Source organism: Homo sapiens, chromosome X, assembly GCF_000001405.40.
Source record: "Homo sapiens chromosome X, GRCh38.p14 Primary Assembly".
In the NCBI taxonomy this organism is placed as follows: Eukaryota; Metazoa; Chordata; class Mammalia; order Primates; family Hominidae; genus Homo; species Homo sapiens.
This window is the reverse complement of record NC_000023.11, coordinates 14,687,526-14,703,873: the sequence shown is the minus strand read 5'-3', so window position 1 is coordinate 14,703,873 and position 16,348 is coordinate 14,687,526. Positions and strand designations below refer to the sequence as shown.

The following is a 16,348-nucleotide window of genomic DNA, read 5'->3' as shown; positions in this document are numbered from 1 at the left end:
GTCAATAAAGGATGTGTGAATAATCAGCAGGTGACCATGGTTGCCAAATGGGGCTCAAACCTCTGAGAGACTGAGACTTGACTTACCAAGGGTTGAGGAAGCTTGGTATTTGGCCACCAACTCCCAGTTCTCATTGGTTGAGGGCCACTCCTGTAGCATTCACCTCCTGGTACTTCTGGACTGTCCTGAGTGTGCATGGAGCATGCTACAGTGCCCAACGGATGCTCTCAGAGTTGCAGTGGAAACCATTGCTGTTTGTGGCAGGCAGGATAATGCCTACCAAAGATGTCTGTGTCCTAATCCTTGGAACCTGTGAATATGTTATCCTACAAAGCAGAGGGGCTTTGCAGATGTGATTAAGAAACTAAGGATGGGGAGAGGGCCCTAGATGATCTACGTGCTCACAACTTAATCACATGACTCTTAGAAATGGAGAACCTTTCTCAACTGTGGTCAGAGGTACACATGGCAATGGAAGAAGGGTCAGAGAAATGCAATGTTATGGCTTTGAACAACTTTCCCCTTTGGAGAAAGGGGACTATGAGCCAAGGAATGTAAGTAGCTCTAGAAGTTGGAAAAGTCAAGAAATCAGATTCTCCCCTAGAACACTGTTATATAAATGAGCCAAAGATGGCCTCTGAGTATTGTCCCCTTGGTTGTTTATTTCCCCACTATAGGTTGAGACCTGTTATCTCCAAAGCTTGCTGGCACCAAACTCAAATTTTACACATTCCATTATTTTAAAAATAGCCTAAACAAGCAGATTTTTAGCCATCTAGACCCTGACTGCTTTGCATAGCCCACGAAACCATGCCTAGCATCTGCTGGTCCTTGCACTTATAAGGTCCCATGGCACTGCTGCTCTTTGAAGCTCTCTGACCCAGAGGCTCCCCCACTGTGCAGCTGAGCAACATCACCTAGACAAGTGAGCCCCCTCTGATTCACCTCCCCACTGGGAGTCCCCTTGTCCTCTCCTCTCTGTATGGTGGCCCCTGTCTCTAAGCCTCTGGATCATTTCATGCTGTGAGGAGCCACCTTTTCACGCAACCCTGTCCAAGTGCCACCCAATAAACTTTGTTGTGTATTACTGCCTGCGTGGTCATATCTTTTTCTTTGATATGGCCCCCAATCCCTTGAACCCCCGTGACAACCCTCCAGAAGCAATGCAGTCCTGCCAATACCTTGATTTTAACCTAGTGAGGCCCATTTTGGACCTACAGAAGTGTAGATAATAAGTTTTTCCTGTTTTAAGCCATTAAGTTTGTAGTGATTTGTTACAGCAATGATAAGACACCTGTGTTACTGCAAAGAATTCAAACCAGAAAGCCACTTTTATATTCACACTTAAGACAAGCTTTGGTAAGTTTATAATATACATCCCAGATTTGGAAAGCTAGTTCTAGCAAAATTACAAAAAGGCAAACCAAAATAGTAATAATGATCTATGCCTCTAGGGAGGGGCTTCAGGGAAGTGTAGACTACTTATAAAATTAAGGGTGTTTTTAAGTTGAAATGCTGAAGCAGCATTTTCCTGATCTTGTGCCTTATTCCAATCTGATCCTTTCTATATAGAGTGATGTTTCCACAGTTCCAATCTGATTGTAGCATTCTATCATTTATAAAGCCTTTTGGTGGCTCCCAGTTCAAGAGCAACTGAAGTCTTCCTTCCTTTTAGGCCCCATGCTTTAGCACTTTCCTGACTCAACTTTTTATGATGTAGTGAAAGCATCATGTCGTTTCTAACATCTGAACCTCTGCATAACCGTTTCCTCAGCCTGGATATCCTCTTAATTTTCCTTTTGACCTGGCAAATTTCTACTCCTGTGTCAAGACCCAGACAAAGGCTCAACTCCCTGGCACTACCAAGTGGAGAAGATGCTTTGTCCTCAGTCATCACTTTAAATCATGCACTTAAACCTTTCCCACAGCACACAACATTCTGCACTGAAATATTTGTCTGAGCCTGTCTACCCCAGTAAACAAAACAACACAAAAAGGACACTAGTTGATACAAGTTTTCTTTCTCATTTAAACATTGAACTCCCTTCAAAAAATCTGTAAAGCAAAACTCCCTTAAGAAGGTCTGTGCAAAACTAGAACTTCAACTAAATTTGGTAACTATAGAAATATAAAGAATCATTGAAATTAAAAGCTAGAGTTAACTGTTTTATTGCAAATAAAGAATAAATAAGTGGGCTAACTGCCACATTTTATTGCTTACATTTATTTCACTTATGTGTAAAATATTCTCCTTTCATTCTCATCTCTTCTTTACAGTATCCCCCTTTCTCTACCCTGCTTGGACCATCACGTGATTCATATTTTTATCCATTCATCCATCCTGTCTGGCAAAACCCTCAGCTTGGATCCAAGATTGGCTTCACGGGCATGCAACCTGTGCAGACACACAGGGTCCATACACAGAGGGGTGCTAGGCTTAGTTTAATGCTCTGCTGTTGCCATCTTGAAATTCTTAATTGTTTTTGAACCAGGGGTTGCCCATTTTTATTTCAGTCAGTCCTGCCTGGATCAATTGTGGAACCCACCATCTGGTTATTCTAGGCTGCTGAGCTCCTCTGGAGAACCTCACCGAATCCAGCACATTGATGCCCCTACATATCCAATTTCCCCTACGTCCGATGGACCCTAAGCCTGCTTGAGAAAACTTCTGTGGGTTCCTGGTGATGTATTTCGCAATTCACAAACATTTCAAAGTTTTCCCACTGTTCTCACACCTCCTACTCTGTCACCTCCCTCTTTATTCTCTGAAAATGAATGTGTTTCCTGTGTCACAGAAAACAATCAGATGCCATCATGTGGGGATTCCTTCAAAATCCTGTCCGCCTACCCACCCACCCACAAACTTGCCATGTCCTTATTCTTATTCCTTCTTTTGTCTCCCAGTTATCAGAAGGAATACCTTCTACTGGGTATGGCTAGTGGCTCCACCTAAGTATGCTCTCCCACCTTTCCTCAAAACTCCTGTAAGTAATATTATTCTCTCTATAAACAACTCTCTCATCAGCATTTAAATGTACTCAAGTTGCTCATTAAAAAAAACACTAAATAAAAAGCAAAAGAACCAACCAACCAACAAAAAAATCCATGGCCTATATGCCTCCTCAGCCACTTCTGCCTCTTTTTCTTGGATAAAATGGCTGCATTCAATGTCCTCACTTCCTCACTGTCCACTTCACTACTACACTGCCTAAAATCTTGTGTCTGCCTCCGTCTCTCCACTGAGCCTGCTGTTGTTGAGGTTACCAATGTCCTCTGACTTCCTAAAATCCATGGCTGCTTCTTAGCTTTTATTTTATGTGAACTCCACATCTTTAGATACTATGAATTTTCTTCCTGAATATGTTTCTTTTTCTAGCCTCTGAGTGATTACATAGCCGTCTGACCTTCTCTGTCTCTCTCATGGGCTCCTTTCCCCCTGCCTGTCTCTGATATGCTGGTGCTCACAGGAGTTTGCCCTCAGCCCTCTGCCTTGCCTTACACTGCCTTCCCTTACACTGCCTTCCCCTTCCATTCCCTCTTCCTGCTCCGTCCCTGCCCCTTCCTGCTCTTTCTCAACCTTTCTCCTCCACTTCTCTTCTCACTCTGTACACTCCTGCTGGGTAATCTTATCCACTTCCATAGCTTTAACCTCCATCTATATCCTAATGACTTCTCAGCATGTCTGTCCAACCCAGTCCTCTCTCCTGAGTGCTGGACTGCCTCATGGACATCGCTACCTCCATCTCTCACATTTCACCTATCCCACACTGAGGGTCATGTCTGTAACTGGGGGTCTGTTGTACAGATTATTGTACAGATTATTTCATCACCCCAGGTCTTAAGCCTAGTACCCATTAGTTTTACCTGATCCTCTCTGTCCTTCCACCCTCCACCCTCCAAAAGACCCCAGTGTGTGTTGTTCCCCTCTATGTGTCCCTGCGTTCTCATCATTAGCTCCCACTTAGAAGTGAGAATGAGTGGTATTTGGTTTTCTGTTCTTACATTAGTTTGCTGAGGATAATGCCCTGCAGCTCCATCCATGTCCCTGCAAAGGACGTGATCTCACTCATATGTGGAATCTAAAAAATTTGATCTCATGGGGGTAGACAGTATAATAGTGGTTATCAGTGCCTAGAGAAAATGAGGGGGAGGGAGAGATGAGGAGAAGTTAGTCAGTGGGTACTATGTTACAGTTAGATAGGAGGAATAAGTTCTGGTCTTCTATTGCACAGTTGGGTGAAAATCGTTAATGATAATGTATTGTATATTTCAAAATATCTAGAAGAGATGATTTGGTGAAGAAATAAGTGTTTCATATGATTGATACAGTAATTATCCTGATTTGATCATAATACAATGTATAAAACCTTAAAACCTCACATTGTACCCCATAAATATATACAACTATTATGTGTCAATTAAAAACAAAATAGAAGAAAAATAAGTAAAAGGCAACTTGTCATTAGGTGGCCCACATGCCATAACCATGTTCTCAAGCAGCCACAATTTCTATTTAGTAGCTGAACAAAAAGAAGTCAGGGCTATCTGGGTAACTGGAAACATTTGAAATTAGGTACAATGCCAGAAGTAAGGCATGGTGCAGCCAGATATAAAATGAAAGTGGGAGATAAATGCAGGTGAGGCTGCATTGTAGAGAAGTTGTTATAACTTCACATGGTGCACATATTTCTTATTGGAGCAGAGGCGATAACATTAAAACAGAGTTTTATTGCATAGACCTGGGGCATCAGCTTCTAATAGACTGGGGTTGGCCAGTTCTGTCAGGGAAGATCTGGGCGTGATTGTTTCTGAGAAACTCTGTTTTGATAAAATTGACAGTGGCTGCTTTACAAAACCTAGAAAAGATAATCAAAGCAAATACACCTAGTTGCACATTGCCCGGCCACTCCTTGAAAGTGACCCCATTTGATAACTTGATTGCTCAGTAAATACCAGACACTCTTCCCATGCATGTAAATGTAATCTCAGGTGTTCTCTCAATAAATACCTTCCCTGAATAAAGCTTAATGCCATTGTCTTTTTGGGAGATGATCTGCTCTTGTTTTTTGTTATACCTTCTAAAATATCAACCTGTATGTTATTTCAGAGGTCAGTTTCTCAGTAGGAAATTAAAGAGATGACATATTGCCTTGGGAATATTTACTTTTTTTTTTTTTTTTTTTTTTTTTTTTGAGATAGATAGAGTCTCACTCTGTCGCCCAGGCTGGAGTACAGTGGCGTGATCTCAGCTCACTGCAATCTCCACCTCCCGGGTTCAAGTGATTCTCCTGCCTCAGCCTCATGAGTTCCTGGGACCACAGGTGCATGCCACCATGCCTGGCTGATTTTTGTATTTTTAGTAGAGACAGGGTTTCACATGTTGGCCAGGCTGGTCTCAAACTCTTGCCCTCAGGTGATCCACCCACCTCGGCCTCCCAAAGTGCTGGGATTACAAGTGTGAGCCACCGCTCCCGGCCAAAATATTGAACATTTTTAAATAATTAAAAAAAAATTAACTCAGGCCACAATGCATTTCTGTGAAAATTAATTTAGTAGTTCATGACTAGGTGGGCCCCAAACTAGGGGAAAACAAGTGAGGCCTCAGGGGCAAAATCTGAGGGGGTACCCAAAACTCCAGTACTCAAATGATATTTAATGCAATGTTTGAAAATATCATTATTAATACAAAAAATCCATGGTGAACAAAACATTAAATAAAAAATAAAACAGGATCTGACCCTGTACTTGTGTGACTCACTTGCCTCACCCTATTTGCTTCACCTTGCCTCACCCTATTTTCTTTTTGCATTAGTTTCCTCATCTGTAAATTGAGATAAGAACAGTATCTTCATTGTTATTAGTTAATTTACTCAATTTAATCCAAACAAGGACAATTTTGATAGTGGCAAGTGGCACTGACAGACATTACAACTCTATAATGTTGACAATTGCAAAGTAAAAAAAAGTTTTATCAAACAATAAAACGTAGTTAAAACGGATTTATATCATACAAAAATGAAAAAAATCACTCAATTATGAGCATTCAGATGCTCAACAGCAAGACTGCTCAGTTTTTCTTTCCTTTTTATGTGTACAGAACCTGTGATTTTCCATGTTTCCCACTGACCCTATGAAGTGATAGCCCGGTGGCTTCATGGATTTTGCATGCCATGCCATGCCATGCCATAGAACAAGGCTGGTATCCCAAGTGACCAGTAGGGGCAGCAGTGACCCATCACTGATAGAGAGCAACATCTGTCCCCAGCCTCTGGTGTCCAATTGCACTTCATTTTATAAGCAAGCTCCCCTCCCGCAAGCTATCCTGGAAAGGGAGTGTTAGTTATGACACTGCATCTGGAACATATGAAGAAAAGATGCCTGGATAGTAGTGATTATTATTATTTTTTCGATTTCACCATGTGTTAAGGTGAGAACTCGTTCACTGCACATGCATACCCCTATACCGGAGGATCACCCTATGACAGAATCCAGGTCTATAAAGTGGAGGTCAACCAAACCCGTTTCCACTTATTTTAATGCAACTATTAATAAAAAACATTTTGTTTAAAATGAGTAATCCAGGACAAATTCTAAATCACACAAGGTATTGGAAAAATAGGCCTAAATCAAGACTTTCCCAGGTAAACTGGGCTGTATGATTGCATTACTCACACAGTTGTAGTGGTGATTAAATGAATTACTATATGTAAAGTATCTAGAAGAGTACCTGGCATATAGTAAGCCCTCAATAAATGTTAGCTCTTGTTATCATTTTTTTTTTTCTAACCATGGTTCAGACTTTTTTAAAAAGCTGAAAAATGCTGCCTTTCCTAAGGGACAAATAATTGGAAATATTTCTTGCCTATTTTTTCAAAATTCAACCATCGGTGATAATTAGGAAACTTGACCACAAAGCTTAAGCATGATTTGATTTGCTCTTCAACTCCCCCCAAGACTTAACTTTGGTAATAAAACATTATGTTCTGAATAGCCATACACAAACTTAAGAACATCTCCATGTCAAACATGCAAACTTGCATTTCTCAATAAACATAGCAGGGATTGTAACTGCCAACTGGCATCTCTAAAACATCTTTTAATCTAAGGTATCCTTTTTGCTCCCCACTGCAATGCCCAAACCATATCTTTTTCCTCCTTCCTCAAACCCAGATCCTTTGGCGTCTCTGAAGCTCAGGTCATTAGACTTCACTACTGATTTTCCTTATCACTGCTGTTACCTATCTGTGCTGTTACCCTTTATTAGTTGTACTCCTTTATTAGTTGATGACTTTAGCATCCATTTCCCTGTCAACCCAACACTCATACTAATGTCATCTTTATTGGGGGATCTTCAATATTCATATGGATAATAGACCCCATCCTCGGCCTTCCAATTCCTGGACTGCCTTGCTGTCAATAATTTTTTCTCAACCCAACCTTAGTCACACATGCTTATTTATGATCATAACCTTATCTTTGTCTTTACTTCCTGTGAAATCTTAATTTTGAGTCTCTCTCTTTCTCTCTCTTGAATACAGTGTCTCTTCCGTGTTTTCCCCTCTCTATCCACCTTAGAATTTCTGGTTCATCACTGCAACTACTGCCATGCAACCTCCCTTAACTTCACTTCCGTCCCTCCCTCCCTCCCTCCCTCGCACTCTCCCTCCATCCCATTCTCCCTCCCTCCCACTCTCCCTCCCTTCTTCTCCTTTCTTGGTTTCTTTCTTCCTTCCTTCTTCCCTTCTACATTCTCTTCTTTCAACTCCTCTATTGTCTTCTCTTTGTCTTCCACTCACTTTCCTGCTCATTTGGCAAAACTTCAATTGTAGTTAAACCGAAGTACCTGTTATCTCAGTACCTGAATCTGATCCTGGAAGCTTGCTGGGGGGAAACACATACCTCCTGATTGTTCACACTTTAAAGTCATAACCACAGTTCTCATATGGGCACTCCCACTGCCTCTGCCTCAGCATTCTGCCCCATTACTCTTCTTGGAGGAATGGCTTTTTTACCCTCCCAAACTACTATTTAATACTTGATCCTTCTTCCTCAAACCTATGTTTCTTTTTTCCACCATACTCTTAGCTGATAGCCTCAGAATTCATGGACATGATAGGAGCTATTAGTTAGGAGCTCCTACATCCTATCATAATTGGACATACCAATTGGCTAGCAACCATAGTCATTCTCCCATTTTGTTTGTACAATGGTGAAGCACACAGACTCTGGGAACACAGTATCTCACTTCAGACCCACTACACCACTTCTTGGCTCATGAGAATGAGCAAGCTATTTAACCTCTTTGTGCTTCAGTATCTCCATCTATGAACTGGCAATAATTTAAGTCATTATTAAAATGGGTGAAATAGTTGTCTCCATGTAATGCCAACCCTGACCCTTTGCTTTGAATTTTATTTTTTCTCACCTTCTTAAGACATTTGTTCTTGAAATTATGCCCTCCTTTCACTGCAATGTGAATACCTCCCTTTTCCTTTGCCAAATGCATTCTTTTATCTTCCATTTTGGAAAAAATATATCCCCCCATGAGCACACATTTTATTCCATACCATCTTCTATGTTCCCCTGCACAGTAAAGGCAATTGCAAGTGATATCTAAGGTTTGTCACCATTTCCTTTGTTCCTTTTTCTGCCCAATCCACTCTAGATAGGCTTTCTAAATGATGGAATGCTCCATTCTCAGAGCTTTTTTTTTTGTTTCTGTTATCTCAATGTGTAATCTCACTTAGTTTTGTGGATTTAAAACAGTATCTGTTTGCTGGTCACTGCCAAATATACATTTCCAGATTTTATCCCTTTCTTGAACATATATTTCTATCTAATTACTTGCCAACTCTATCGAGATGTCTCATGGGCATCTGAACTTAAGAGCATAAAAATGTGACTCAAGTTCCACTCCAAATCTGCGCTTGTCACAATAGTCCCCATCTTAATAAATGGTAACACTACTTACCCAGTTGCTTAAGCCAAAAATCTGTGAGTCATATTCAATTCATCTTCTCATCTCTTCACATAAAATGCATCAGCATGACCTATTGGTTTTACCTCCAAAGCATAACCACTAGAATGTAAGTTTCATCAAAAGGCTGCATTTTTTTCTGTCCTGTGAAGCAACGTATTCTAAGGATTTACACAGTGCCTGGCACATAGTAAGAAGTAAATAAATTTTTGTGGAACAAATGAAAGAATCCTGAACCTAACCACTTTCCTTCATTCTCATGACCAATACCATAATCTAAGCCATCAACATTTCCACCTATAGTTCTACAATAGCCTCCTAACTTATCTGCTGCTACTCTTGACACCACAACTATCCACTCAATAGCCTATTTGCTATATTGAAACTAACTAGTGGATTCCAATCACTTAGAATAAAATAAAATCCTTTATACTGGCTTGCAAATAAATCTTGAAATTACCTATTTTTCAACCTCATTTTCTACTTCTTTGTCCCTCTCATTCTCTACTATATTCACAGCTTTCCATGTTTAAGCATAGTAGGTGCTCAATAAACATCTTTTGAATGAATATATATATTTAACCTGTGAGTAGTCTAATGATGACAGGGAGTGAGATTGTGCAGAAATTTGTTTTACCCTCTCTCCCTTTGAGAGCTAAATTTTCAAGTAATCTATACTTGCTTTTTCCATATCCTCACCTACCTTAAACTACTGCAATCTGGTTCTTCCCAAATGCTGATTTGAAAACATTCATGACAAGATAATCAGTAAACTTAATGGACCATTCTTTTATTTTATTAATTTTTGCTCTTTGTGTTTTTTTTCATAGTTTTTCACTCCTTCTACACTCTTTGGATTTAATATCTTATTCTTCATTTTGTCTCCATGAAATAGATTCTTAGATAATCAGTTTTCAGCTTTCCATCTTTATAAAATATGCATTTGAAGTATACATTTTTCACTAAGCATGGCTTTAGCTCAGTTCATATATTTTGATATGTACAATTTATCTTTCAATTCAAAATATTTTCTAACTTCCAATGTGAATTCTTTTTGATTCCTGAATTATTTCAGAAGTATTTGGTTATTTCCCAATTTATAGAGATGTTCTAGTTATCTTTGTACCATTGATTTTTAGCCTAATTCTATTTACTCAGATAATATTATTTCAGTGTTTTGATATTTGTTATGAGGTGCGTTATAGTCCAACTCATGATAAATATACCAAAATGTTTCTTCTGACTTGAAAAGTATATGTTTACTGCATTTGAGGGTGTAGTTTGTTAATTATGTTGTTAAATGTTTTATATCCTTACTGATCTTTCTGTCTGCTTTTTTTCTATCAGTTGCTGAGAGGTATATTACAATTCCTCACTATGAGTGTGAGTTTGTCTATTTCTTCTTTATATCTGTCAATTTAAACTTGGTGTATTCTGAGGCCATGTTATTCGTTGTAGACATATCTATAGTAATCACATCCCCCTATTGAAGTGATCATTTTGATTATGAAATATCTCTATTTCTAGTAATAATTTTGGTCTTAAAGTCTACTTTATCTAATATTAATGGAGCTAAACTGGCTTTATTTGGTTAGTGTTTGCATGAGATATCTTTATCCACAGTTACTTTGAAGCTTTCTCTATCTTTATATTATAGGTGTGCCTATTGGAGGCTGACTAAAGTTGAGTTTTATTTTTAAATTTCATCTGAAAATGTTTGTCTTTTAATAGAGGTATTTATTCTATTTTTCTTTACTGCATTTATAATATATTTGGGTTTAATCTACCACTTCTCTATTTGCTTTCTCTTTGTCTGTCTGGTTCTGCATTCCCTCTTTCTTTTTTTTTTTTGTTATTATACTTTAAGTTTTAGGGTACATGTGCACAATGTGCAGGTTAGTTACATATGTATACATGTGCCATGCTGGTGCTTTAGATTGATTTTGTCTGTTTATTATTCCATATCCAACCCCCCTTGTTTGCTAGTTATACTTTTTTAAAAATTAGTCTTTAATATCTGTTATTATGTAATGCCAGACATTGCTAATTGATGACAGATCTCATTCCCACAGAGCCCAGGTACAGTCTAAGAATCCTTCACACAGCATTTCAAAAATTCCCTAACAACTATTTAGAATTGGGAAGCAAAATGAAACCCATTTTCCATCTTTGGTCTAGGAGAGTATGCAGTCAGTAAGCCAGGATAGTGTTTCTTAAATTTATCTCATCATAATAATCACCTAGAGTGCTTATTAAGGGTACAGATTCTTGTATTCCACCCAACTTTATAAATCAACATCTGAAAGGAATTTTGCTGAGAATTAGTATGTTTCACAAGGGTCCTAGGTGAGTCTCATTATGATAAGGTAAGTTTGGGAAACCTGAGCAGTATTACCATATGTAAAAGAAGTTGTTGAAGGACTTAAACCATCCACTGACCAATAGACAGTTGCAGCATGAATTCTTTTAACTCTGTACTGTTTTGTGTTGAAATACCATCGTAATGTAAGAATATTTTCTAGGTGGCACAAGTGATCCTGAACTTTTGCTGCTGTGTGCTGGACTTCTGTGAATGTGATTAAAGAAACGTTAGCACCAACAGGGAGGCAGTGAGGAGAAAATTGAGAAAGGCACAACATTAAAAGGTAATGTACAGCAAAGAGGATATTTGTGCTTGTTTACTTGTTTTCCTTATCTATGGCAGGACAAAATGTTCCTGAGAGGTAGCGAAGAGTGAGACAGGGCAGCTAACAGGATAGATTTATCTCTTCCAGCCCAGAGTATGTGCAGGAAACCTTTCAGTGGATGCAGTCAGAACTCAGTGAGCTCATACCCACATAAACTCCTCAATATAAGCAATGTCTCACAACAAATATTCAGCTTTACATCTAGGTATTTGCAGCATTAATAGGGACTGTGAAATATTTTTGTTTTCATTCCAACAGAGTAGCATATAACTATTACTTCACCAGCAGGATTAATTTATCAAATATTTTCTGGAACAGATTTTGAAAAATCTTTCTCTCTCTACTGTACATAAAATGTTAACTTTAGTTCTCAAGCAATATTGTTACAGGAGGTAACATTCTTCATATCAAAGGGTATGTTTCTCTCCCAGAGTTTGAAATGGAAAACAGGTGCAAGCCTTTTGATAGCCTCTATGAGATTGGGTTATAAACCAGAACAGTGCTTTCCAAGCATGTCTGCACACCAGAATTGCCTGGGGAGCTGCAGAAATACAGAGGCTGGTGCCCCTCCTAACATTGAGGTTTAGTTGGTGTAAGGTGTGTCTAAGGCTTGGGATTTTTAAAATATCCCCAGGCGATTCTAATGTGCAGGCAAGTTTGGGAACCACAGGACTGGAGATCTTGAGCTATGCATTTCAAACCTGAAGTCTCTGGACAGTGTAAAGCTTAGAATTCTGCACTAAAGTTTAAGTTGAGATAATGAGGCCAGTCTCACTGGATTTATCATGTTGCAATCTACATGGGTACGGCATAATTTACATAAAGCCAGAGCAATTGATGAAAAAAAGTCAATCAGATCAGTGATGTACACGCACGCACGCGCGCACACACACACACACACACACACACACACACACACACACACACACACACACACAGTCAATATTTAGAAGAACCAGGATTTTAAAGTAACTTTGTCAAATCAAGTATATATCCCCAATTAGAGTTGCCAGATAAATACAGGGAGCCCAGTTACTTCCGAATTTCAGATAAACAATTTTTAGTATAAGTATGTCCCATGCAATATTTGGTATGTGCTTATACTAAAAATTGTTTCTTGTTATCTGAAATTCCAGTTTAACTCCATGATATGTATTTTTATTTGCTGAATCTGACAATCCTCCCCAATTTTAAAGGCCTAAGCTGAGCACTAAGTCAGTGTAGTAGGACAAATCAGAACAAAAATTAACCTTGGCTTCTTGCTTATTGTGTGCTCTTCTGTTTTCTGAATTACATTGCCTAGCTAACCAACTCAAGCTCTACATTGTCTGAACTGAGGGGCAATCATACCTTATTCTGCCTCTTCTGTCTTCTTCGGAGGCGCAGGAACTCCTTGTGTTGCCTGGAGACGAAGTTCACCGCTGCGTATTCCAGTAAGGCAGCAAACACAAACAGAAGGCACACCGCCATCCAGATGTCAATCGCTTTTACATAGGAGACCTGAGAGAGAGAGAGAGACACACACACACACAGAGAGAGAGAGAGAGAGAAAGAAAGACTATGAAAGCCTGCCAGGAAACCAGATTCTTAATGGTGTGAGCAGCAAAATAACCTAATTTCCTTGGTCAATGATTTTCCAGCGTTTTCTTAAGAAAGTGCTTAAGCCATTGATTCTACTTTGAAGATTCTGGGCAGAGCACTGAAAGTCACACGCCCCTGAACCAGTAGCTTTATTCCTGAGACCAGCTCCAATGACTTCAAGAATTTCCTTAATGACAGATTTTAAGTGTTCTCACTACAAATAAATATGTGAAATAATGCATATGTTAAGTAGCTCAATTTAGACATTCCATGATGTGTACATATATTGAAACATGTTATACACCATAAATATATACAATTTTTACTTATCAATTAAAAATAATTATTCTCTTAATTAGACAAGAAAAACAAAACTTTGAGGCAAAATAGATGGGTGCTATTATTCAAACTGCTCACTTCTATTTTTTAAATTGAAATTTAAAAATCAATATAATTAAGATAATTTCAAAACATGGATGAGAAATAAACTATATATGGCCTTAGGCTCTTCAAAAGCCAATTTGTAATTTTCTTCAATTTACTGATCCTAACTGACATGAAAACACAGTTCTAAATAGTTTTAAATCCTCACAATTAAAGAGTATTCAACCAAAGTAAAATATGAGGAATACAGCCTTGAGAAGGTATCTGGTTAAAAAGAAAACTTTGATAACCCTTCAGTGTTTGCTTAAGTGTTTAGTAAGTCTTATAATTTGACAAAGTAGATTCTGAAAGCAAATACTTTTTGCTTGCAATGGAAAATGCCCCTCATCTCACTCGACTTACAATTATTTTTTCAAGTGTAAAAGGGAAAAATAATTGGAGGAAGCTATAAAATATTGGATCCTAGACTACAAAGAATACTTATTAAACTACCATCTGAATGTGTACTATTCAGTTCTAATTTTTAAATAGAGTTTCCTATATTTTGATAGCTGTCAAGTGCTTGCCAGCCAGTATTTTAAGCATTTTACATGTGTGAATTTTTTAACCCTTACAACAACTCATCCCAATTTTCTGATGAGAAAACTGGGGTAAAGAGGGATGAAATTATTATCCAAGGTAACAAAAGTAATAAATGACAGAGTCAAGATTGGAATTGGAACTCAGTCTGACTAATGGATTTCCTTTCTGAACACACACACAAACACATTGCTAGGATCACAGTTTGTATCTTTGCATTTCCCTTTGACCTTTATACTGAGCATTTCCCATGTTACTTATTTTTCTTCTAGATCATAATTTCTAATGCTTGCCTAATGGTCTATACCATGATTAAACATTCTACATTGTAGGACATATAGGTTATTTTCTATCTAATATTTTATGACTGTAAGTTTTGCTGCTATGAACATTCTTCTCCCAAAATACTTGACTGTGTCCCTGATTATTTGTTGGATCAACTTTTAGGTGAGTTACAGAAGTAAAGATATGAAAACAGGCTCTTGAATTAGAAGGTTTGCAGGAGCACAGTGGACATAAAAGCAGAGATTCTGGAGTAAGATGCCCCAATTAGGAAATGCTGCTCTGCTACTATCTGTATAATTCAGTTATGTTATTTAACCTCTCTCTGCCTCTATTCCTCATCCCTAAAATAGGAGCAATAATAGTACCTACCTCATAGAGCTGTTAAGTGGATAAAATCACTTAATATACATAAAGATTTTAGAATAGTTTCAGAAAGAAGTTCCAAGATGGCCGAATAGGAACAGCTCCAGTCTACAGCTCCCAGCCTGAGCGACGCAGAAGACGAGGGATTTCTGCATTTCCAACTGAGGTACCACGTTCATCTCACTGGGGCTTATCAGACAGTGGGGGCAGGACAGTGGGTGCAGCCCACCGAGCGTGAGCCGGACCAGGGTGAGGCATTGCCTCACCCGGGAAGCGCAAGGGGTCAGGGAATTCCCTTTCCTAGCCAAGGGAAGGGGTGACAGATGGCACCTGGAAAATCGGGTCACTCCCACCCTAATACTGCACTTTTGCAATGGTCTTAGCAAGCGGCACACCAGGAGATTATATCCTGCGCCTGGCTCGGAGGGTCCCACACCCACGGAGCCTCACTCATTGCTAGCACAGCAATCTGAGATCGAACTGCAAGGCAGCAGCGAGGATGGGGAATGGGCGCCTGTCATTGCTGAGGCTTGAGTAGGTAAACAAAGCGGCCTGGAAGCTTGAACTGGGTGGAGCCCACAGCAGCTCAAGGAGGCCTGCCTGACTCTGTAGACTCCACCTCTCGGGGCAGGGCATAGCCAAACAAAAGGCAGCAGAAACCTCTGCAGACTTAAATGTCCCTGTCTGACAGCTTTGAAGAGAGTAGTGGTTCTCCCAGAATGGAGTTTGAGATCTGAGAACAGACAGACTGCCTCCTCAAGTGGGTCCCTGACCCCCGAGTAGCCTAACTGGGAGGCACCCCTGAGTAGGGGTAGATTGACACCTCACATGGCCGGGTACCCCTCTGAAATGAAGCTTCCAGAGGAAAGATCAGGCAGCAACATTGGCTGTTCAGCAACATTCACTGTTCTGCAGCCTCCGCTGCTGATACCCAGGCAAACAGGATCTGGAGTGGACCTCCAGCAAACTCCAACAGACCTGCAGCTGAGGGTCCTCACTGTTAGAAGGAAAACTAACAAACAGAAAGGACATCCACACCAAAACCCCATCTGTACGTCACCATCATCAAAGACCAAAGGTAGATAAAACCACAAAGATGGTGAAAAAACAGAGCAGAAAAGCTGAAAATCCTAAAAATCAGAGCACCTCTCCCCCTCCAAAGGAATGCAGCTCCTCGCCAGCAGTGGAACAAAGCTGGAAGGAGAATGACTTTGACGAGTTGAGAGGAGGCTTCAGATGATCAAACTTCTCCAAGTTAAAGGAAGAAGTTCGAACCCATCACAAAGAAGCTAAAAACCTTCAAAAAAGATTAAATAAATGGCTAAGTAGAATAAACAGTGTAGAGAAGTCCTTAAATGACCTGATAGAGCTGAAAACCATGGCGCAAGAACTACGTGACGCATGCACAAGCTTCAGTAGCCGATTCGATCAACTGGAAGAAAGGGTATCAGTGATTCAAGATCAAATTAATGAAATGAAGCGAGAAGAGAAG

General features: G+C 39.5%; 2 protein-coding genes across 12 annotated transcripts in view; one reads left to right on the top strand and one right to left on the bottom strand.

The window, feature by feature from the left end:
- The window catches only part of FANCB (FA complementation group B), a 183,546-nt gene extending 169,196 nt beyond the window's left edge, over positions 1–14,350 (top strand). For all 4 annotated transcript variants that reach the window (XR_007068184.1, XR_001755674.2, XR_001755672.2 and 1 more), the window contains one exon: positions 11,500–14,350. The gene's annotated coding sequence lies outside the window, so the exon portion shown is untranslated. The remainder of the gene's footprint in view (positions 1–11,499) is intronic.
- GLRA2 (glycine receptor alpha 2) overlaps positions 1–16,348 on the bottom strand; it is a 283,034-nt gene that overhangs the window by 27,939 nt on the left and 238,747 nt on the right. For all 8 annotated transcript variants that reach the window (XM_047441999.1, NM_001171942.2, NM_001118885.2 and 5 more), the window contains one exon: positions 13,015–13,164. In XM_047441999.1, coding sequence (XP_047297955.1) covers positions 13,015–13,164 — 150 coding nt within the window. The remainder of the gene's footprint in view (positions 1–13,014; positions 13,165–16,348) is intronic.